The 25,067-nt window shown below is 41.3% G+C and overlaps 1 protein-coding gene and 1 long non-coding RNA gene across 7 annotated transcripts in view; both read left to right on the top strand.

The window, feature by feature from the left end:
• MAGI1 (membrane associated guanylate kinase, WW and PDZ domain containing 1) overlaps positions 1–25,067 on the top strand; it is a 685,393-nt gene that overhangs the window by 80,403 nt on the left and 579,923 nt on the right. The window lies entirely within an intron of this gene.
• Positions 3,958–25,067, top strand: part of MAGI1-IT1 (MAGI1 intronic transcript 1) — an 81,745-nt gene continuing 60,635 nt past the window's right edge. Inside the window, exon 1 of the long non-coding RNA NR_145422.1 lies at positions 3,958–4,076. This is a non-coding gene — a long non-coding RNA (MAGI1 intronic transcript 1). The remainder of the gene's footprint in view (positions 4,077–25,067) is intronic.

Here is a 25,067-nt window from a genome sequence, read left to right as displayed (position 1 = left end):
TTTACCCAGTCTAAGGCTATTTTCGGTCAAGGCATGAAATGACTTTGTCATTGCAGTAAACCCTAGTCACTGTGCAGGTAAGCCTCTTCTTGAGATGGATTGCATGCATACCTTTTTGATGATACAATAAGCAGGTCTTTATTGGATGTGAACAGAGTTTAAAATGTTGCTGAGTTGAACATTGGAGGGTGAAGGGATTTCTCCATAGAGTTGTTCCTGCATGTTAAGAATATTGAGCTAAATTTAGAATGTCTTACACTGTACCTATTTTTTCCTGTGTAAGTCTCAAAAACTTGATTTAGACTTGAAGGTTTTATGAATGTCCCTACTTTTTTGTTTTAAGAGGGAGGAAGAGGGAAGGAGAGGGAGGTCATTTGATTGAGAAGGGCATAAATCGCAGTGGATGAGTTACCACAAAGTCAGTCCATATGGGTTACAACAGTTCAATCAAGAACTAGGCCAGGCGCGGTGGCTCACACCTGTAATTCCAGCACTTTGGGAGGCTGAGGCGGGTGTATCACCTGAGGTCAAGAGTTAGAGACCAGCCTGAACAACATGGTGAAACCCCCTTTCTACAAAATTAGCTGCGCGTGGTGCTGCATGCATGTAATCTCAGCTACTTGGGAGGCTGAGGCAGGAGAATCACTTGAACCTGGGAGGCAGAGGTTGCAATGAGCCAAGATCATACCACTGTACTCCAGCTTGGGCAACAAGAGCAAAACTCCATCCCAAAACAAAACAAAACAACAACAACAACAACAAAGAACTAAAACATAATAGCAACCAGGAAGCCCCCGGGTAGGCTCGCTCCCTGGTAACCATTGTCCTGACCTCTATTCCCATTTTCTTGTTTTGGAACTTTGTACAGATAGATTCACTCAGTATGGATTCTTTTATACCTGACTTCATTTCCTCAACATTGTATTGAGATTTGTCCATGTCGCATGTAGCTGTAGTTCATTCCTTTTTCTTTTCTTTTTCTTTTTTTTTTTTTTGAGATGAAGTCTTGCTCTGTGGCCAAGGCTAGAGTGCATTGGTGCAATCATGGCTTATTGCAGCCTCCACCTCCCAGGCTCAAGCGATCTTCCCACCTCAGCGCCGCGGGTAGCTGGGACTACAGGCATGTGCCACCATCCTCAGCTAAATTTTTTTTTTTTTTTTTTTTGTAGAGACAGGGTTTTGCCATGTTATCCAGGCAGGTCTTGAACTCCTGGCCTCAAGTGATCTACCCATCGACGCCTCCCAAAGTACTGTATTATAGATGTGAGCTAGTGTGCCCAGCCCATTTTGACTTCTGTATAATACTATAGCATGCATATATCTACATTTACTCATGTGTCCTACTTTTGATGAGATTTGTGTTGCTTGTAGTTTGGACTATTACAAATTATTATACTGTCATTATGCCTTTTGGTATATATGTATTTTCATTTCTCTAGGGTATGCCTCAGAGTGGACTTGTAGGATTGGGTTAGACTATGCATTTTTCTAATCCCAATAACATAATTTTTTTTGAGAAGGATTCTCACTCTGTCACCCAGGCTGGAGTGCAGTGACGTGATCTTGGCTCACTGCAGCTTCTCCCTCCACGGTTCAAGTGATTCTCCTGTCTCAGCCACCCAAGTAGCTGGGATTACAGGTGTGTGCCACCATGCCAGGCTAATTTTTTTGCATTTTTTATATAGAGATGGGGTCTCATCATGTTGGCCAGGCTGTTCTTGAACTTCTGACCTCAAGTGGTCCTCCCGCCTCAGCCTCCTGAAGTGCTGAGATTACAGGTGTGAGCCACCATGCCCTGCCTTCAATAGGTAATTTTAAGCAGTGTTCCAGCTCTTCTAGTTTATGTTACCACGAGTAGTCTATGGGTTTCCATTATTTAACGTCCTTGTCGGCGCTTGGTATTGATGATCTTTTAATTTTAGCCACCTGAAAGTATGCCTACTTTGAATTTTTTAAATTTCTGTGTTTCACTGTAAAGAAATGAGAGTGAGGTTTAGAGCCAGAAACTCTGAATGAGTTTAGCTTTAACCCTGGTTGAAGGGCTACTAGGTGATCATTTGAATCCTTAACTGAAGGTGGGGCCATTTTGTTAGACTTCACCCTACAGAATCTCACACACCAAGGTCCAAATGCCGGTGGCAGGCTATGTAAACCTACATAGTTATTTACCTCTTTGAGACTCAGTCTCCTTATCTGCAAAGGGATGTCATTTTAAATTCCTCACCGAGTTGGTATGAAGAGCATCAGTCATTCCACCAAAAAGCACTTAGTTCCTGGCCCATAGTTATTATCAAACAGTGAGTCACAGGAAGATGCGGCTAGCTACATTGCTGTAGAATACTCTTATATTTATTTTAGTTTATCTATTTTTAGGGGAAACAAAGTTATTTCACCCAGAGCATTAGACGTCAAAAGTCGATATATCCTTTCTGGAACTGCCTTGTTTGTTTGATGTCCTGGTGTTTTGAAGGCTGGCATGTTTATGGCCGGGCAGAACCATAAACACTCCTTCGGCCCAGGGCTGCCCTGGATTTGTGTATATTTCATACATGGGCAGTGGAGAAGGAAATCATCTTCAGCTTGTGTTTTGACACAGAGAAGTTTTGCTTTTCGTTTATCTACTCTCTGCATCCTCCACCGAAAACAAACAGAACACTCTGGCATGGGTAAATATTGTGACTGGCGGCCTCAGTGGTGTTGTTTTTCCCTTTGCTACAATTGCTGAGAGACTGATGGTGGCATTGTAGAAGATCCATGGTTGTCATTCTGATACTTCAGCCAGAACCATAGCAGTTCTGGAAATGAAAAAGTGAAGTAAAGAAAAATAAGAATTACAAGACAATTTTTTTTTTCCAAGGGAAATTGTAAGGCATTTCAAGGATGGAAAGGCAAAAATGTTATATGGTTTTGCATTTCTTCTCCTAGCAGCGATATTCATCATGCCACCACTCCTGAGCCTTAGAATAGATAGACTCTTCAAAGACAGCTGAGCTTCATTTCAGGTGGGTTCCCTCCGAGCCTTCTCCTGCTTCATTTGCCCTGCTTAGTGAAACTCAGCTAGAATCAAGGTGCAACTGGTCTAGGAGGCTAGGAGAGGTGTAACCACTTACTATGTAGCCACTGAGAGTTTGGCCTGGTGGAATTTCATTTGCAATTAATTACGTTTATTTATTTATTTAGTTTTAAGAGGCAGTGTTGTCCAGGCTGGCCCTGAACTGCTGGGCTCAAGTGATCCTCCTGCTTTGGCCTCCCAAAGTTTTGGGATTACAGGCGTCAGCCACCACACCTGGCCAAGGTTATTTTTTATTAGCTTAAAAAGTTATTTACCTCTAACGTGTTTTCTTCGCTTCCCCCCTCCTCCCTGTCTCTGTGTTTCTCCCCATCTCTCATTCTCTCTTTCTGTCTCTGTCTCTCTCTTTCGGGAAGTTAAGTAAGGGAAGAAAGACCAGATGAGAGAGGTTAAAACTGCTGGGCTCTGATTTCACAAACAGGTAGTCTTTTGCTAACTGCATGATTTTGAGCAAATTCCTTCATTTTTCTAAGTCTCAATTCTTTCATCTCTCAGTGGAGGTAACAGTTGTACCTCTTTTGTTATGAGGGTTATGTTCAGAATGACAAATGTCAGAATTTGCACAAATAGCAACAGCTGCCCTTACCTGGCACTTCCTCAGTGCCAGGCACTGTTCTGAGTACCTGCTTGGTATATATCCCAGCAGCCCTGGGGGTTGGGGCCTGTGGTTTATAGGTGAAGAAACTGAGGCAGAGAGTGTTTAAGAAACTTGACTTAAGATTCCTCCAGCAACAAGTGGCAGAACTGAGATTGGAGTGCGAGGCTGTGTAGTCCAGAGTCGAGGTCCTCTGTCGCAGCACTGCCATTTCCCCGCCGTGCCGCCTGACAACACACCCCGCCCCTCCTCCTTCTCTCTGTAGATAACTATTTCAGTTTGGCATAACTTCCTTTGTAATTTGTAGCAACAAACCTGGGGTCAGACACTCCACTGCCTGTGCATCTTGCCTGTTTCCGGATCCGCCGTGTCACAGACATTTTCTATGTCAGTGCCTATGGCTCTACCCAGGTAAAAAATTAACCACCTTGGCAAGCGCTGCCCATGTCGCTCCTGCTTGCCGGGGCTGGCTTTCTTTCAGAGCAACCCCGTTCTAGCTGGCCTGCTGCCTAGGCCCTGGCTTTCTTTCCCACAAAATAGCTTCTGAAAAAAACTGTGGGAAACAAATGGCTTCAGAGGTTTTTAGAAACAGAAGTGCAAACTCTAACAAATTTCATCTGGCCCAAAAATGTTATTACCCAAAATCTTGAAAATATTTTCTTATAGGATTATTCCCCCAAGGTTGTTAATCTGAGAACGATCCAGGCCTAATAGGCCTGACTTTTTGCCCCCTGATGTTGGAGTCTTGAGTAGTTGAGTGCCGGAGTATGGGGGGTTGGGGTAAAAATATTCCTCTGGAGGAAATGAAGTCATTTTATTTAACATTATAGCTACCACTGGGACTCTATCATTTTAGAAAGGGAATGCCAGTTCACACAGCCAAATGAAGCTTTTAAATTAGTCCAAGAAACCTTTTAAAAGGTAGCACTAGGTTTTCAGTTCCACAAACATTTATTGAGTCTATCTGTCCTAAAGATTTTTGCCATAGTTAAATTTTACCTAACGAACATTGCCTTTCTAGATAAATGTTATTGTAACATTATCTGCTTCTCTCTTTCAGTGGTTGGCATTTTACTTTCGGTGCTACAGAGTGGCAGCAAGCTACACTGTTTCTGTGCTGAGGTTGTTGTCTGAGAGAGATTTATCTGGCCCTGTGAGCCCCGCACAGCAGGGAGACAAACCTTGATTTGTTCAGTGGAGGAAAGAATGTGGCCTTGTACACCTGCCTCCCTGGATACACCTGTAGGGCTGGTTTCCCTGCTGAAACCTCCCTGTGGAGCTCTTGACACTGGTGCAATTGGCTCAGCCCTGGCAACAGTGTCAACAGAAACTGGGCTCGGAGGGACCCAGGTTTCCGTGTCCTTCTCTTGCTGGTTAAATCCCAAGTATGTGTGTAATCGCTCTCAGGCTGGGGAGGTGAAGTTGAAACCTGGCTTATCACTGGGCCTAGATTCTCCTGTAGCATATTTTAGATAAGAGTGGAAAAAATGCCAGGCCCAGCATTAGCTGCCCTGAGACTGAGGAGCTTTGTTTTTCCTCATGAAGGCCTTTGGTTTCGTCTGGAAATCTGCCTGTGAATAGGCCAGAAGGTATAAAGGCAGCTGTCCTTACTTATCTAGTTTTAATTTTTCAGCAAGTGATTTGGAAGCAAGAATGAAGATTTGATCAGAACCTTTGCTCACTTGCAATGAGTAGAGTCTTGTTGCTTGTTTTCGTTTGGCATTGCCCTCCCTTTGAGAACACCATAGGCAGCTGCTCTCTGTTGGAATTCCAATTCTGTGACCTTGGGCAAATTACTTAACCTTTCCCTGAGCCTCAGTTGTCTCATCTGTAAAAGGGGGATAATAATAGTACTTGACTCATAGGTTGTATTAGGGATTGCAGAGTTAGTATTTGTAGTCCTTAGAACAGTATCTGCACATGGTAAGTGTTATGAAAGTGTTTGTCAAGACAAACAACAGGAAATACTTTGTACAGTTAATTATATGAAGTGCCAGTGATATTTATGTGGCTTTTTGTTGTTGTTTGTTTGTTTTTGAGATGAAGTCTCGCTCTGTCGCCGAGGCTGGAGTGCAGTGGCATGATCTTGGCTCACTGCAAGCTCCACCTCCTGGGTTCACGCCATTCTCCTGCCTCAGCCTCCCGAGTAGCTGGGACTACAGGCGCCCGCCACCACGCTTGGCTAATTTTTTGTATCTTTAGTAGAGATGGGGTTTTACTGTTTTAGCCAGGATGATCTTGATCTCCTGATCTCGTGATCCACCCGCCTCGGCCTCCCAAAGTGTTGGGATTACAGGCGCGAGCCACCGTGCCCGGCCTTATGTGGTCTTTCTGGTTGGTAAATATTCTAACACACACAAATTAATCATTAGATCAAAAGAATTGTGTTTTGGTACGTAGTTAAGGTGCTCTTTTCTTTTAAATATACACTCCTTGCTGTTCTTCCTGTTCCCTTTGCAGAGCAAAAGTATCGGAAAAAAACAAGTGCAAGCACTTCCTTCTAATATTGGTTTAGTTGTGGTCAAAAACAGGAATTATGAGTCATGAACACCAAATTGACAGGAATGAGCCAAGGCAAAATTACATCCTAAGGATGGGGGTCATCTTTGACAAACAGACACACAGATTCATCAGGCATTAAAACAGCATTCTTAACCTTGGAATCCACGGGTCCCCAAAAAGTCTGTCAGAGAAATAGGGGATCTGCAAATTTGGGTGGGCTAAGAGTTATCTATCTACACTTTCACTAACCCCTAACTGAATTTGAGCATTTCCTTGAATTATGAATGTAGGCAACAAACCACAGTGACAGAAGCAATACTTATGACTTTGTCGTCAGTAGGAATCTCAGATATTTTAATATCACATTGCAATCTCATTTACTCTTATCACTACAGTAGCTAATAGATTCACCATTATTTATTTATTGTTCTTCAGTGCCTTAAGAAAAAGCATGATTATTTAAGAATATTTTGCTCACTACAGTTCAGTATAATTAGGTTCCTTTGGACTCTTACATATTTTATTCATTTATAAACATTATTCTGAGGTAATAATAGTCATCACCAGACTGCCAAAGAACTCCATGCGTAAAAATGATTAAGGAGTTTTAAAGTTGAAGGCTTAAGCTGATTGGAATCTCTAGAGCTGTTCTGTCCAATAGAAATATAATGCGAACCACTTGTAATTTAAAATTGTCTGGTAGCTACTTTAAAAAGAGTAAAAAAGAAGTGAAATTAATTTTAATAATACATTTTATTCAATTAGATATATTTAAAATAATATTTCAACAGGTAGTCAATAATAAAAGTTACTTGTGAGATATTTGACGTGTTTTTCATACTGTCTTTGAATCAGATGCGTAATTTATACTTCAGAGTATATCTCCATTTCGATGCAACAGTTTCATTGGAAACATTTGATCTGTTTTTACGTTTAACAAAATTTCACTGAAAAAGTAGATTCAGGTGGTTCCAAACACAATGAAATGTTTTCCACTAACAGCATTGAGTATTTTCAATTTGAATCATTGAAGATGAAATAAAACGAGAAATTCAATTCTTCAGCCATGTGAGGTATATGACAAGTCCTCAGGGTCTGCTGGGGGTTACCATATTGGACCATGCAGCTCCAGAGCCTGACTACATGCAGAATTCTCTGGGAGGAGAAAACAGTGATTGAATGGATGCTTTGAATGCGGCCCAACATAAATTCATACATTCATGAACTTTCTTAAAACATTATGAGATTCTCTCTCTTTCCCTCTCTCTTTTCTTTTCTTTCCCTCCCACCTTCCTCCCTCCCTCCCTCCTTTCCTTCCTTCCTTCCTTCCTTCCTTCCTTCCTTCCTTCCTTCCTTCCTTCCTTCCTTCCTTCCTTCCTTCCTTCCTTCTCTTTCTTCTCACCAACTATCATTGTTCCTAGTGTATTTTATGTGCGGTCCAAGACAATTCTTTTAATGTGGCCCAGGGAAGCCAAAAGAATGGACACCCCTGCCCTGAGGTATCCCTGCACTCTATCTGTCCCTGAGTAGGTCCTCATGTTGGTAGTGACAGCACACAGTGCATACCTCTGTCTGGGACTTCATTTGATTCAAGGGAAGCTTTTCCATTTAAGTGGTGGCTTTTGCCGACCAGTGGGGGGTAGCATTTTGTAATTTCCGTTCCAACCAGTTGAAGAGGGATTTACAAATTCTTGGAAAGATGATAATTTTTTTTCCTTTGAGCAATCTTTGGTATAACAACAGAGTTTAATTTACATAGGGATTTTTAGTACTTTGCTTATATTCTTTGTTTGTTTTTCTCCTGTAGTGTTTTCTAGAGAGGGTGAGCTGCAGGGCACATTTTAATCTTTTAAATTAGTTTTTCATGGATTCTCAACATACTTTCTCTGAGGATCCTTCAACAGCGAGGGCGGGGTACAAGCCTGGGCTTTTAGTCTTTTGGGGCCATGGGAGAATATGCAGATCTATGCAGAGTACCCTTACCAGGAGGGTTCTTTGAGGCTTCAAAGAACCCAGATCTTTGGCTAAAGTTGTTAGAAATGTCTTTTCCTTTTCAGGAGTGGTCTCTGAACTAAAGCTAGGTAATTTCAGCCAGTGCTAAGTTACCCACTTGGGTGGTCTAGTCTACTTTCATCTCCTAACTTGTTTAACTTTAATACTGAATGTGGCTTTTCGTTTCTTTTGATTAAAATTGACAAGCTGTAAAGTAAAAAAAAAAAAAACAGTAATATTGCTAGTTCTGTTTTTTTTTTTTGTTTGTTTTTTTTTTTGTTTTTTTTTTGTTTTTTTGTTTTTTTTTTTTTTGATGATCTGGCTCTGTTGCCCAGGCTGGAGTGCAGTGGTGCCATCTCGGCTCACTGCAGCCTCCCCATCCTGGGCTCAAGTCATCCTCCCATCTCAGCCTCCTGAGTAGCTGGGAATATAGGCACATGCCACTCTGCCCGGCTAATTTATGTATTTTTTGCAGAGGCAGGGTTTCGCCATGTTGCGCAGGCTGGTCTCAAACTCTTGAGCTGGGATTACAGGCATGTGCCACCGTGCCCAGCCCCAATCTAGTTTAAATATAAAACTGGAGCCAAGATATAAAAGTAAAAGAAACTTTTTTCCCTAGATAGGAAAGTTTAAAAACTTGGGAATTTAGATAGATGTGGAGGTTTAAGTTTAGATCCTACCAGTAAGTAGACTCTCCCCATGTAGCACTTGTGGTATATCTTAGCACTTTGGAGAGAAAGTTGAACTCTTTTCAGCCTTAGAAACTTGGAGGCATGTCTCATACTTCAGCTGAATGCTGGACATGTTGAATATTATACTGTGCTAGGGCTTGTGACCAACAATAAAAAGTACATTTCCTTCTTTTGAGGGATTGTAGTCTTGGTAAAATGAAGCAGTAAACTTGGTCAAGTCTAAATGACGATTGAGACAGAAGATAACATTTGTCAGTGAATTCTGTTTTGTTTTCTTAAGTCTGCACCTAACAGGAACTTAGCAATTTCCAGCCAGCTAGTAGTAATAACAACAGAAATAGCAATTGACCTTTAACACCTCGTCCAACAATGTTTAGTGGGTGGTTACTCTGTGTTAAGCATTATTCTAGAATATAGGGACACAAATGTTGGACACAGCTTGCACAGGTTTATTATGCAGGTGATGGGAAGGTTTCTGATATGACACGTGCTCTGGACCAAGGGCCTTGCATTTTAATAAGTGGAGTGAATAAAAATTTATAGCCAAATGTCATGTTGGCAGCAATGGAAGTGTGCTCCGGAGGTGACAAATGCTTTGAGGAATATAGAGTGTCTGACAGCACAATGTGAAGAAATGACAGCTGCCATCTTTGCCTGTCTTTTTCTCTGTGCTGCATTTGCTTTGCTCTTGTCACCTTTCTTAGGCTGGTTACTGGGCAGTTGGAAGAGACTGTGGAGAATTCAATTCAGTTGTTTGGCTTAGGGACATAAAATTGAACTGCATAATTCATGGATAGGTATCTGCAGCATCGTCTTCGTGCCCTGTAGAATGGGTTGACTGCCAAAGGATTTTACGATTCTAAAATCCTAACAGATTTTAACAGTTGCTTAAATATTATTTCTTGGCATATATAGCTTTTTAAGTCTGTGGGTCAAAGATAGATGTACTCATTTGAGACTTAGTGATTTGTTTTATAAGTATGTTGAATAAGTTGAGCCAGTTTGAATTGTGTCCTTCTCTTTTAAAGAAAAGATTTCCCAAATTTAAACCTGGATTTAGATGTTTTTTGGGTTAACCCTACTGAACTTTCCAAAATTTTCAGGCTTCTGGGCCTAACTCAAACTGTAATTTCATGAGGCCGGCCAAGTGATTTTTAATCTCATTTAAAAGTTACCATAAGCTCTACTTGAACCATTTGGGTTTTAGTATAATAAAAGGGCACATGTATTGGGTTTTTTATTTAGGCTATTGCAATAAAGAGAACTTTCATTAATGAAGAAAGTCTCAAAGAAAAGGCAGAAAATTTGGGGTTTTATGAAACAAGGGAGTCATTTAGGAAGGCTGGAGATATATCTTATAATATTCCAGGGCAGAGTGTCCATTGCTGCTAGCAGCAATTATTTTTAAAAAGATACTGCCAGGCTGGGTGCAGTGGCTCATGCCTGTAATCCCAGCCCTTTGGGAGGCTGAGGTGGGCTGATCACTTAAGGTTAGGAGTTTGAGACCAGCCTGGCCAACATGGTGAAACCCCGTCTCTACTAAAAATACAAAAAAATTAGCCTGGTGTGGTGGCATGTGCCTGTAATCCCAGCTACTCAGGAGGCTGAGGCAGGACAATCGCTTGAACCTGGGAGGCGGAGGTAGCAGTGAGCCAAGATCGTACCAGTGCACTCTAGCCTGGGTGACAGAGTGAGACTCTGTCTCAAAAAAAAAAAAAAAAAAAAAGAGAAAGATATTGCTGATTGCTGGGCACAGCAGTTGCTCAATGCCTGTAATCCCAGCACTTTGGGAGGCTGAGGCAGGAAGATTGCTTGAGCTCAGGGTTTGGGACCAGCCTGGGTAACATAGTGAGATCTCATCAATACTAAAAATAAAATAAATTAGCTGGGCATGATGGTGCATGCCTGTGGTACCAGCTACTCAGGAGGCTGATGTGGGAGGCTCGCTTGAGCCTAGGAGATCCAAGCTGCAGTGAGCTGTGATTGCACTTCTGTACTCCAGTCTGGGTAACAGACCGAGACCCCGTCTCAGAAAAACAAACCAAAAAACTGATATTGCTGATTAAAGCTTTCACTTGAAAGCCTCAACAGTTAATCAGAAACGTACAATTTATAATTAGTGTAAATTGAGCATAATAATTTTATTATAGCTTATCTCAGTGTATTCATTTGATGATTTAAAAATATAAATATAGGAGTTTTCATCCCTTAAATTTATGTCAGAATTTAGAGACATGTTGTATTATTCTTTGTGTTCCTCCATTTTAGGTTGATTGTATAATTTTTCCAGGTTTTAAATATATTTAGGAGATATTTATACCTTACATATGCTGTTTGGGGTATTACAAATTCTAATCCCAGAATTACTATAGATAAAACCATAAATATAAAATGATAGGGGCCTATTATCTTAGCATTTTGTTAGTCTGCTTTTAGGAACCATTTGCTATGGCTTACCAATACAATTTTCTTTCAACATTAGGATCCTCTTTCCTTGAAGAACTACAGGAAACACAAGCTCGGGAGTTATTTTACATAACAATGAGGATGAGATGTTATTTGTTTATAAGTTATTCAGTGTCTAAAAGCCTTAGGGTACCAAACATAACACAAGATAGAAAAGAAACAAATTTGCCTTGACATTTAGCTGTAAATTGAAATTAATTCATATAAAATACTGAGGTGAAACACTTCAGTTGTAGAGTTTTGCATACTGCTTAGCTTTCATGATTTTGTCACTTTAGATTTTAGTTCAAAAGTGTGCTTTTAAACTGTATAAACTCATTAGCTGCATAAAATTCTCCAGCTATCCACTTTTTCCTATATTTTCTTACTCTGCAGGTGAAAACAGCATTTTTAATATTTAACATTCTTAAGTGATCTGTTTCATGTGGATTGTTTTTCGTTTTCTTGTCCCTGGCCCTACCTCTTCTGGAGTCAGCGCAGGCTGGTGGGTGCGCTGCCAGATCTGGGTGTGCGTGTGTGGTGTCAGGATACCATTATTGGGAAATGGATGACTGCAAAACAGTGAGGCCTACTTGTAGGCAGATGACATAACCAGCAGCTCACTGAATGCCATTGCCAAGACAAATAGGTTTGAGCTCTCCCCTCTTGGTGGCTGTTCTCGTCCATGCTGAAAGTCATTGCCACCCTTGGCTCTGCTTTTCTCTAACCTGGAGGAGGTTGCTGAAATTTCTGCCCAACGGAAAAAAAAACCAAAGGGACCAAAACAGGATGTAAGCAAAGTTTTAATATTCCAAACCAGGAAATAAATGATGAAATGCAGAAAAGGCAGGGAGGAAATTCTAACTGGCACCAAGTTGGGAGGTCAGCGTCAATAGCCCACAAGACGCTGACGAGGACTTGTAGTTCCCGAAAGTTCTTTAACTTGTGTTTCTTGTGAGTTGAAGTAACACATTTTTTATTCCTTCTTCATCACCACCCTTTCTAATTCCCAGTCATCACCCTTAGTGCCCTGGGAGGGCATGCAGGAATGGCAGGAAGTGCCAGGACCTCACTTGGACAGATACCCTCGGTGGCCACCCCCTTCCAGTGTCCATGCTGTAGGCGGACCCTAGGGCCAGGCCCAGAGAGCTTTCTAAGGTGCATTTCCTCTTAAGTAAAACATAAATTAGAGAGCAGGAAAATGTTGGCTCTTGATTTTTTTTCAGGGAATTTATTTAATAAATACTATTTTAATACTAAAGATTTTTAAAAGAATGATTACCACTTTATTGCTTGCCTCTCAAGTGTGCCTTTAGCCACTGCTCTGTCTCTAGCACCTAGAACAGGGATTGGCAGTGTTAGAAGAACAACTTCAGCCAAATTAAATTTAAAGAAGTTTAAGTGAGCAACGAATGATTCACGAATTGGGTAGTCCCCAGAATCACAGCAGATTCACAGAGACTCCAGGGATGCCCTGTGGTCAGAATAAATTTATAGGCAAGAAAAGAGAAATGACATACAGAAATCGGAAGTGAGATACAGAAATAGCTGGATGGGTTACACCTTGGCATTTGCCTTATTTGGAAAAGAGTTGAACACTCAGCAGTGTATGACTGGTTGAAGCATGGCTACTGGGATTGGCCAAGACTCAGCTATTGTTACAGCTGCATACTCCTAAATTAGTTTTTCACCCTTGTCTACCTATTAGACAAGGTTGGTCCACAAGGACTCAAATATAAAAGTACAGAGTCCTTCTCAGGCTATACTTAGTTTGCTTTCACAGCAGATACTACATACCCATTAAGTTTTCATGAAATGAATGTGTGGTCCCCAGATCATCAGCCTCAGAATCTCCTAGGTGGTCATTACAAAATAACTATTGGGTACTAAGTTTAGTACCTGGGTGATGAAATAATCTGTACATCAAACCCTCATGACACGAGTTTATCCATATAACAAACCTGCACATGTATCCCTGAACCTAAAGTAAAAGTTAAAAACAACAACAAAAAAACCAAATGCAGTTTCTTGAGTCCACCCTGGCCCTTCAAAATCAGGATGTTTGGGAGAGAGCCCACAGACTCTGCATTTTAAAAAGGGCTTCCCCACCAGATCCATTGGTGCTCCCAGATTTGAGCACTCTTGCCCTACGGACACACCACTTGTTTCCAATTTCCTTGTTGCTTTTCATATATGTTGTAACGTGATGGATGAATTTGGTTCCCGTCCTCTATTTCATGCCCCATCACAGCAATATTATGTAATGGATATCCTCAATATAATGAATGAATGCTAATATTACATAATGAATATTTGCCTGGTTGTTATATTTTAATGCTGTCGGACAAAATTGACACTCTCTTTATTACCTAACCATTTCCCTATTGTTGGGTTATCCACCTCTCTACCCCAACTATCTTCCCTTATTCTGTAATGCTGCAAAGAGTATGAAATTTAGACATATATCTTTGTTTTATTTTTTAGCTATTTCCTTGGTGAGCTGGTCATACTTCTAGAAGTTTCTTGCACACAGGAGATCTAATATCCAAAGGACTCCCTTCATGGCTCCCTCCCTCCGTCCCTTCCTTTTCCTTCCTTCTGTTCTTTCTCTCTTTTGCTCTTCCTTTCCTTAGTTCTTTTTCTCAAAAAAAGGCATTGGAAAGCTATTAGCATTTAAATAGCACTTTATTTTTTTTTCCCTTGAGATAGGGTCTTGCTCTGTTGCCCAGGCTGGAGTGCAGTGCTATGAGCATGTCTTACTGCATCTTCAACTTCCTGGGCTCAAACTATCCTCCAACCTCAGCCTCTCGAGCAGCTAGGACTACAGGCACGTACCCCACATCCATCTCATTTTTTTATTTTTATTTTTTGTAGAGATAGAGTCTCGCTATGTTGCCCAGGCTGGTCTTGAACTCCTGGGCTCAAGCTGTCCTGCCTCTGCCTTCCAAAGGGCTGGGATTACAGGCCTGAGCCATTGCACCTAGCTGAGCACTTTCAATTTCTGCTATCTTGCCTGCTTAACAAGTAACATTCCCTTTTAAGGGAAAAATAATCCAGGGTCACTTTTTATTAAATTTTACTAAGAAATGGCAAAACTGCTTAATGGAGTTGAACCAGGATTCTTAAACAGCTACTTGAGTTAGGCACAGAGTTAGGCACTTTTAGATTCAGTCAGAAAGAATGTTTTTTTCCTGGAACTCAACTTTTTTCATTTGAGAAATATGAAAATTGGCCCACAAGCTATATGATGCTGCCCTGTCACAGTGGAGGAAAACAATGCCCAGTTCACAAATAAGTTTTGAGTTCTGTAGAATGAATATATTTCTTAATTGCAGGATATCTAATGACTTGTACTGTTGTTAAGGTGTACAAAGTAAGGCTTTCTCAAACTTTCTTGAACATGAAACTCTTTAATATGTTGTGATACTGCTTCTCTACAGAATATTCTTCTTGGAATACTCATCTAAAGCAGTGTTTTTCAAATTGTAGGACAAGATTAGTGACTGTAGTGAAATCTGTACTGTGGATTACAAACCAGAATCTATATACACACATATATATATACACACACACACACACAATCACACACACAATTAGTGCATCACATATAGTAGGGTATTGTTTCCTGAGAAGTTTTTTTTTTTTTTGAGATGGAGTCTCGCACTGTCACCTGGGCTGGAGTGCAGTGATGATCTTGGCTCACTGCAAGCTCCGCCTCCCGGGTTCAAGCGATTCTCCTGCCTCAGCCTCCCGACTAGCCGGGATTACAGGCGCCTGCCACCACGCCCAGCTAATTTTTTGTATTTTTAGTAGAGACAGGGTTTCACGATGTTGGCCAGGCTGGTCTCAAACTCCTGACCTCGTGATCTGCCCACCTTGGCCTCCCAAAGTGCTGGGATTACAGGTGTGAGCCACTGTGCCTGGCCCTGAGATGATTTTCTTTTTTCTAGGGCATGAGTGAAGGTTCAGAGAGAAAAAGGGACATTTTCAAAGAATGTTTCTCCATCTTCTCCCAGCAAAAGAAACACAGAACAAAACAAAAATACAGCCAATCTGGCACGACGAATGCAACTGTAAACATTATAATTTCTCCATCAAATAACAAGAGTTATATAGATTGTATTTGTTTAACAAGCACTTATATACCACTTGCTATATATAAACAGTATTGTGAACATTTTACAAATTTGTTTTCTTTTGAGACAGAGTCTCCCTCCACCACCCAGGCTGGAGTGCAGTGGCATGATCTCGGCTCACTGCAACCTCCACCTCCCGAGTTCAAGGGATTCTCTTGCCTCAGCCTCCCGAGTAGATGGGATTACAGGTGCACACCACCACGCCCAGCTCATTTTTGTATTTTTAGTAGAGATGGGGTTTCACCCTATTGGCCAGGCTGGTCTCGAACTCCCAACCTCTTGTTATCTGTCTGGTTTGGCCTCCTACTAAAGTGTAGGGATTATAGGGGTGAGCCACCGCACCTGGTCGCATTTTACAAATACTGATCCTCAAAATAAAATTTGATCTGCATAACAACCCTCTAGGGTGTAGGTGCTATTATCTGCCTTTATGGATGAGGAAAGTGAGGCACTTGCTAACATTCTGTATGATATACTTAACTGTAAAATCAGAAAGTGACAGTAATCATTAGAACTTTGACCTCATATTTAACAGTGGTAGTTAGAAACCAAAAAGGGAGCCAACCCTTTTATATTAGAGTCGGGATCATGCCAAATGTTTTTTCTGGCCCCCGGGTAATGGGGCTGGGAGACCAAGAAAATCATGTCCAAATCCCAGAATGATCAACTGTCTGTTTGAGGCTACTAAAAGATAGTAGTTCTCCAGAGCACAGATAAAACGTCTTCAGATATCATTTGCTCATTACTGGGCAAAGCATGTGAAAGCCAATCACTCTCAGTAAGGAATTCTTTTGGTTTACAACTGAATATTTCACTAATGTCAGGATTTCTCCTTTTGGTGGTTTTGTATGTGTTTTTTTTTTTTCTGCAAATGGTATTATATTAGCCATTAAAGTAACACTTCTCTCAGACTGTGCTGTGCATATAGCAACATGCTGTGTGGTAAAGCTCCTGGTCACAGGTCAGGAAGGAAAATGGCATTTTCTAAGAAAGCTAAGGCTGGGTATGGTGGCTCACGCCTATAATCCCAGCATTTTGGGAGGCCAAGGCAGGCGGATCACTTGAGCCCAGGAGTTCAAGACCAACCTGGGCAACACGGCGAAACCCCTGTCTCTACAAAAAATAAAAATAGTTGGGATGATGGCTCATGCCTGTAGTCCCAGCTTCAGGAGGCTGAGGTGGGAAGATTAATGGAGCCCGGGAGGCAGAGGCTGCAGTGAGCCAAGATTCCACCACTGCACTCCAGCCTGGTCAGCAGAGTGAGACCCTGTTCCAAACAACAGCAGCAACAACAACAACAGAAAGTTAATACTTTTCCTTTAATGCCTGAAAGCCATTGGGAAACAGTTCTTATTTCTGAGGATGTTATTTTCTTCATTTATGAGAGAAGCCAAACTCAAGAGCTTTAGACTTTAAAGTTGGGGTTTTCATTTCAGTGGTGTTCAAATAGCAGTGGTTCTTAAGGGGAGGTGGGGGTGGGGATGTTGTCCCCATAGGGGACAGTTCACAATCTAGACTTATTTTTGGTTGTCAAAACTGGGAGAGTGCTACTGCATCTACAGGGTAGAGGCCAGGGATACTGCTTCAACATCCTACAGTGCACAGAAGCAATAACTAGCGCCAAATGTCAATAGTACCAAGGCTGAGGAAGCCTACTTTGGAGCAATCTGATGCCGTTTTGTATTAGTGAACTGTCTTGGTTTTAACTAGGGGCAATATAATTCTTTTTTTTTTTTTGAGACGGAGTCTTGCTGTGTCACCTAGGCTGGAGTGCAGTGGCTCAATCTCGGCTCACTGCAACCTCCACCTCCTGGGTTCAAGCTATTCTCCTGCCTCAGCCTCCCAAGTAGCTGGGATTACAGGCACCTGCTACCATGCTCAGCTAATTTTTGTAGTTTTTAGTAGAGATGGGGTTTCACCATGTTGGCCAGGCTGGTCTCGAACTCCTGACCTCAGGTGATCCGCCCACCTCAGCCTCCCAAAGTGCTGGGATTACAGGCATGAGCCACCGTGCCCGGCAGGGGCAATATAATTATAATTCTTTGTACCTTGGTTCCATTTATAGTTTTTTTCTTGAATACTGTTTCATGTGAAATTACAAATTTTGAGGGTGGAAGCAGGGGAGGGAAGAGGTGACATCTGGTGTCAGTTGCCAGGAAAACTGTAATACCTCTTAGAGTTTCCCTAATTGAATATGACGGGATGGTTTAAGGTTTGGGGTTTGTGAGGAGTTGAGAGATCTTCCACTGAAACGTGCTATGAACAAACTAAATCATGGTTAATACCTTGTGGGTTGCCTCTGGATTGTGCAGTCTGATACGCACTTTGGTTACATTTATTTTGTTTACTCCTTGTAGTAGTTCCATAAAATTCAGAATGTTACCAATACTAAAGCTGAGGAAACAATCTCAGTAGAAAAGTAATGGGACCCGTGTTATAGACTGAATGTGAATCTCCCCAAAATTTATATGTTGAAATCATAACCCTCAATGTGATGGTGTAAGGAAGTGGGACTGTTGGAACCTTTGGGAGGTATTTAGATCATAGGGGTGGAGCCCTCATGAATGGGATTAGTGCTCTTATAAAACAGACCCCAGAGAGCTTTCTCACTTTCTTTTCTGCCACGTGAAGATACAGTGAGAAGATGGCAGTCCATATCCCAGAAGAGGGTCCTCAGCAGAATCTGACTGTGCTGGAACCCTGATCTTAGACTTCAGCCTCCAGAGCTCTGGGAAATAAATTTCTGTTATTTATAAGTGACTCAGTCTATGATATTTCGTTATAGCAACATGAACGGACTAAAACATCCCCTAATTTCTTGTGAGAGTGTGGCATACAGAGTAAATTCTTTGAGCAGCCATTCCTAGTATTGCTTTCCCTAAGCGCTCTCTGCTTTGCTTGGAATAAGAGGTAGGAGGGTTTGGAGAACACTCCCCTGGGTGTTATTCTAGTGCTTCACTGCTTTCCCTCTTAAAGGGCGGCCTAGCCTAGCTCCTGGCACATGTTTGCCAGTGATGTAGAAATTCTGTTTCTAAGGATTAAAGAGGTAGGGATGAAAATAATTAGGCAACTTGCAGCCTCTGCCACACTCATATTTCAAGATTCTTCTTTGATTTTTTTCATTTTAGTCACTTAATGATTCTTCCTTCTTGTTTTATTCTTCCTTGATCTCCAGGGACTGTAAAACAATCCAGAAACTTAGTAATATTATGAACAAGCATTTATCAGCTGGCCACAATGTGCTTATTAATGTTCAAATACTATGAGGAATGTCAGCTTTGCTCCCCAAACCTTGTTAGACTCAAACCCTCATGAGACTTGATACCATGACTACTAATGTCCTTTTATTCCCCAAATCGATTTCCCTTTCCTTTCTTACTGGGTTTTAGATGCAGATGACACAGTCCAGGGAAGATCGGAGGGCCTGTCTGAGTATGGAGAAGTACGAGCTGGTATTTTATATAGCCTATGACACTCCTACTTAATGACTTAGATGGGCTCATAATTTCACATTCACCATTGAAATATTTTTTCTGAAGTTAGAAAATGAACCATCGTTAGGGCTATTTGACAATATTTCTTTGGGATACTTTTCCTCATTCAGTTTGTTTATGAGTAATTTAAGATCCACTGTCATCATCTACATTTAGCTGTTGGTAATTTGTGCGGAGTTCACATTGAGTTATTGATTTTACCCCCTACAGTGTAAACATGAAAGACTATGAAATAATGATCTTGCTGGTGAAATGTTTGTATATTTTTTAATAATGAGGACTAAACATTTGGCTGTATGAGTCTTCCTGCCCATAGGAATAGAAATGTGGAAACCTGCAGGAGATACAAAAGGCATTTTTTTTAAAAAAGGGAAATAGAAAGACTCTTCATGTACAACTGTAGGGCCACAATAACTTCAAAAGAATTTATTTCATTGATGACTTAGTAGCCCATTTAATGCATAATCCATGTTAGTTCAAAGTAAACTAGTTTATGTGTTTTTCTTTTTCTTTAGCAATATAATTTTAATAAATTGATTTTGGGATGGGGGCGCAAACGAATTACTAGTGCTAGTGTTTTACTCTAGTGGCTGAGGTCTCCTAAATTAATGAGTTAAACAGGACAGGATATAGCATCAGAAGAGAGTTCCTGCTGTTTACCTACAATGGTTGCATCCTCACTAAAAAAATATGCACTGCCCTCTGCTACAAAGACACCCACCAGTTCTTTTGTCTTTGAGGACTGTTTCCCCTTGTGCTCTGCCAGTCTATCACAATAAAATGATTTCAGTGATGTGGTCTCATTGCAGGAAATGTTTAATGAGTCTCAGGAAAACTATAAATAAATCTTAGGTCATTGTTACACCGAAGAACATCTTCAGGCCTTAGATAATTAGGATGTCCCGCCTAGGTTTATTACGAGAAATCTTCATTCAAAGAGGTGCATGCTTGATACTTTATTTTAATTTATTTTATTCTGGGCTTTAAATTGTCCTGTCTCAGTGCGGAAAAGGAAGAAGTGTCAAGTCTCTTGGCGAGTAGGGAGGTTGTCATTTTTAACAATGTCCTTATAAGATGGAGGGGACATTCAGAGGTTGGTCATCTTGTCCATCTCCAGCCTGCAAATATTAATAGTACTCGAATCACCTTGAACAGATAAGTGAGAACAGAGCTTGTTGTTAAAGGTCCTTAAAGACCTTTATTTATATTAAGTTAATATATTTAATATAATATTTATATTAGTTCATTTAATATATTTATATTAATTTATTTAGTATAATTATGTTAATATATTATAATATTCATATTAATTTAATATAACATTTACATTAAAGCACATTTCAAAATTGTTTCCCCAAGTAACATTTTAGTTAACTTAAATGGAAAGAAACTGTTCCTATCCACTGACCTAATTCTTTATTTCTCATGGAAGCTCTATTTTTATTTGTAGCTTAGGTAATTGAAGAATGTTCTTGGTAGCTTGAAGTCTGTCTTCCTTGTATGCACTTGGATTTGATAGGAAGAGTGATCATATTGACCCATAATATGGAATATACTTTTTAAGGTCAAGTTATCTGGTCAGCCATTTATTTCCTAATAGAGTATTGCTTGATCCGTATTCTCTTGATTCTGATAATGTCTCTTTTTCTTTTTTTATAAAAGTACATTAAAAAAATAAATGCCATATTTTATTTTCCAACAAACGGAATGATAGCCTGATTAATTCTTATTTGGGCTGGAGTAATCATCTAACAGAACAATGTCCCTTAGGCAAAATCTTACTTAATTTTGGTGTAGTTTCATTACTTATCTCTTTCCCTTTTTTTGGTGTCAAACCTTACTGTCTGCAGTGGCTCTTCTGCTTGTCAGAAGTTAATTAAGTTGTAACTAAAAAAACCCCAAAAAACCCACAAAATAAAAGAAGTGGCTTAAAAATTCTATTTAGCAGGTTAGGCATAGCCAGTTGTGCTTGTGCTTATCCAAAGCAAGCCACCTAGCAAACACACATGCACCCTGATGGCTTCACACCGCAGAGGCTGCCGGTGCCTGTGGTCAGACCATCATCCACAAATTGCTTCACCAGGGGAGTGCTCTCAGCCCCTGACACAACCTCTCTCTTTCTCTGTGGGCCTGTGGGCCACCTCCAGGAAAAACCTGACTTCTAAACAATTTCCTGGTGAGCCAGCTGGGGAAGGAGAGGATTTCCGTAGCTGAACACTGAGCACGGCCATTCAAAACAGACAAAGCTAGCAAGCGTTGGAAATCTGAGGCAAAAGGGCAAGGGAGAAGTGTCAGGGTGGGGCTGGCTGAGGTCTGCAAATAGGCTGCAAGAGTTTTCAAGGTGTTTGTCAGGCTGCCATTCTTTTGACAGCTCTTCAAAATCTCAAACAGTAATAACTTGCTATTGGAATTCAGATTTCAGAACATAGGCCTCCTTGTCTATTGCTAGTTTATTTCCCTGATGAGATTCTCTTCCTGGGACAGTGGGTGTGGTGTAGGGTTTGCTCTTGGTAAGCTATACAAAATTGTTAATCATCAGGAGGAGATACTGTCTGTGGAGAAAATTAGGTAGAGATTAAAACAACCACCACCACCACCATCACCACCACCACCACCATCACCACCACCACCACCATCACCATCACCACCACCATCACCACCACCACCACCAACAACAACAACAACAACTTTGAACCTGAGCTCAGTGGCGCACACCTGTAGCCCCAGCTACTCAGGAGGCTGAGGTGGGAGGATTGCTTGAGTCCAGGAGTTTGAAATTGCAGTGAGCTGTGATTGTGCTACTGTACTCCAGCCTCGATGGCAGAGTGAGACCCTGTCTACACACACACCACACAGATACACACACACCCCGCACGAGACTTTGAAGGTGTAAGGTACTTTGGAGATTGCCCTCTTCTATAACTAACATATTAAAATGTACCCACCTTCCTGATGAAATATAATATATATATATCTACATAAGATTTTTTTTTTTTTTTGAGAGGGAGTCTCTGTCACCCAGGCTGGAGTGCAGTGGTGTGATCTTGGCCCACTGCCTGAGTAGCTGGGATTACAGGCGTGTACCAGCCACACCCAGCTAATTTTTGTATTTTTAGTAGAGACGGGGTTTCGCCATGTTGGCCAGGCTGGTCTCGAACTCCTGCCCTCAGGTGATCGGTATGCCTCAGCCTCCCAAAGTGCTGGGATTATAGACGTGAGCCACTACACCTGGTCACTACCTAGGAATTTTTGATTTGCAGTTGACTTGCTGTGGGTTACGCTTAGGAATTTTGATTCTGCTGTTTCTCTTTGTATTTTGCAGTCAGTTCCCTTCCTCCCACCATATTCCTGTTATTTCTAGGGCCTTGGGAGGTTTGTTGGCATAGGTACTGTGTCTGTGGTACTAATGGATTATGTCAGTCTGTTCTTAAAACCCTTCCATGGCTTTCCATTGATTTTAGGATGAAGGTCAGTTGAAGTCCTTAACCTGGTCCTGTGTGTTGTGGCTTTTTTCTGTCTGCTGCCTAACAAAGCCCCCAGGCTTAGTAGCTTTAAAGAAAACCAATGATTTGTTATTGCTCATCATTTTGTGAGTTGGCCAGATAGTTCTTAGGCTGGTTTCACCTGGGCTTACTCATCTGCCGAGTTCACCTGGGTGGTGGTTGAGCTGGAAGTTCTGATGTGACTTCCTTCACATGTCTCTGGCCTTGGTACTGGCTGTCCTCTGAGGCACCTTGGTGTCTTTTCCACAATGGTTTATTTTCCTCCAGTAGGCTAGACTGGCTTCCTTATTTGGCAGTTTCAGGGCAGCATTTCAAAAGCAGGAAGGTGGAAGTGGCAAGGCCCCTTGAGGCCCTTTCTTCAGAGCTCACACAGTGTCACCTTTACCACATTCTATTGGTCAAAGCAACTTCCAGGCCAGCCAAAATTCAAAGGGTGAGGTAGTAGACTCTACCTCTTTTTTCTTTGAGACAGAATTGCGCTCTATTGCCCACTCTGGAGTGCAGTAGCAGCCTCATGGCTCACTGCAGCCTCAACCTCCTGGGCTCAAGCGATCCTTCCATCTCAGCCTCCCGAGTAGCTAGGACCACAGGCACATACCACCACAGTCAGCTAATTAAAACATTTTTTTTGGTAGAGATGGGTTCTCACTTTTTTGCCCAGGCTGATCATGAACTCCTGCCCACCTCGGCCTTCCAAAGTGAACCACCATGCCTGACCTCTACCTCTTGATGGAGTTTGCTGCAGAGAATTCAATCTACAAAACCATTCTTCTTATTCATTCCACATGCCCCCTTTTGTTCAACATTGTAATCACTAAACCTCTTTCAGTTCTTTAAACTCACCTTGTTCTCCAGCTTTTGGCCTGAAAACATGTGTTTCTCTCCACCTGAAATATTCTTTCTTGCCTGTTTTTTCTAGCTGACTGCTATACATAGTTTAGGTTTTAGCTTCAATGTCATTTACTAAGGATATTCTTCCTTTCCAAACACCCTAGATTTGGGGAACTGTAACCTCTCTTCTTTGATCGAATAGTTCCCTATGCTTTCCTTGTCATAATAGCACTAATCATTCCTTTACTGGAATGTTTACTTTTTGTTTTTGTTTTGTCTTTCCTGATAAAGGCAGGACTGGTATCTGTGTTGTTCTTTACTGTGTTTGTACCAACCACAGTGGCTTACTATAGATAGGATTAAATAAATACTTGTGCAATGCAGATTAAATTGGTGCAGATTACTTATTGATGTTTGCTCACAAGAGGATTTCAATGTTCCCCTTTGGAATGTCCCACCACAACCTCCCCTTAAAAAAAAAAAAAAACAACAACTTTTTCTTCTCAGCCCACAATCTGGCACCATTAAATGGCCCAATATAAGAGGGACTCGGTTTTATAATTAGGTTGGGAGCCTTTTTCTTAAATGTACTGCACCACAATCTGGCACCATTAAATGGCCCAATATAAGAGGGACTCGGTTTTATAATTAGGTTGGGAGCCTTTTTCTTAAATGTACTGCACCATTAGTCCTGTTAAATCACTTGCTAACATCAAATGAATGTTTGGAAAAAGTCCTACTTGTAGTCTATAAAATAGATGGTTAAAGATGCCACCTGAAGGTAAGCCTTTATTTGTAAAGAACAGAGAAAGATTTTCCCCTGCTTTATCCGACCTATTGTTTCTTCTTTTTCTGAACCTCTGTTGTATTTAGAATCATGCCTATAATCCTACCATTTTGGGAGGCTGAGACAGGAGGATCCCTGGAGGCCAGGAGTTTGAGACCAGCCTGGGCAACCCAGCAAGATCCTCTCCCTATCTTAAAAAAAAAAAAATGGTAAAATATATTAAAAAAAAAAGAATCAGTTCATTACCCTAATTACCCTCTAATTATTCTTGTGCACATCTTGGTGTCTCACCTAGATTCACCTCTTTGAAGGAATAGGGATTTGTTTTTGTTTTTGTTTTTTGTTTGAGACAGAGTCTCGCTCTGTCGTGCCCAGGCTGGAGTGCAGTGGCGCGATCTCAGCTCACTGCAACCTTCGCAGTTCAAGTGATTCTCCTGCCTCAGCCTCCCGAGTAGCTGGGATTACAGATGCCCACCACCAAGCCCAGCTAATTTTTTGTATTTTTAGTAGAGATGGGGTTTCACCATGTTGGTCAGGCTGGTCTCGAACTCCTGACCTCAGGTAATCTGCCCACCTCGGCCTCCCAAAGTGCTGGGATTATAGGCATGAGCCCCCGCACCTGACCGGAATGGGGATATGTTTATAATACATTTATTTGCTGCTGTGCATACATATGATGATAAACAATTAATAAAATAGGCTCATTTAAGATATCTTTCTTCTTTTACTCCGAATACTATATTTAGTGTAACTTTGGAGTTTCAAGGAGTATCTATCCTAATCTAGCCAATTGTAGCTAGCCTCCAAGACCCCTCCTCTCCTCCCAATAATTTTCACCTCCATATATTCATGGCCTTGTATGGACTCCTCCTAAGCTGAGTAGGACTGACATTCAAGCCAACAGTATGTGGTAGAAATGGCACAGTATTGTTCCCAAGGCTAGGTCGTAACAGAATTGTGGCTTCTGCCTTGCTTTCTTGGATCTGTCACTCTGGGGAAGGCTAGCTGCTATAGTATGAG

Source organism: Homo sapiens, chromosome 3 (assembly GCF_000001405.40).
Source record: "Homo sapiens chromosome 3, GRCh38.p14 Primary Assembly".
NCBI classification, from domain to species: domain Eukaryota; kingdom Metazoa; phylum Chordata; class Mammalia; order Primates; family Hominidae; genus Homo; species Homo sapiens.
Note: the sequence above shows the minus strand (reverse complement) of the source record. Positions and strands in the feature narration are given on the sequence as shown.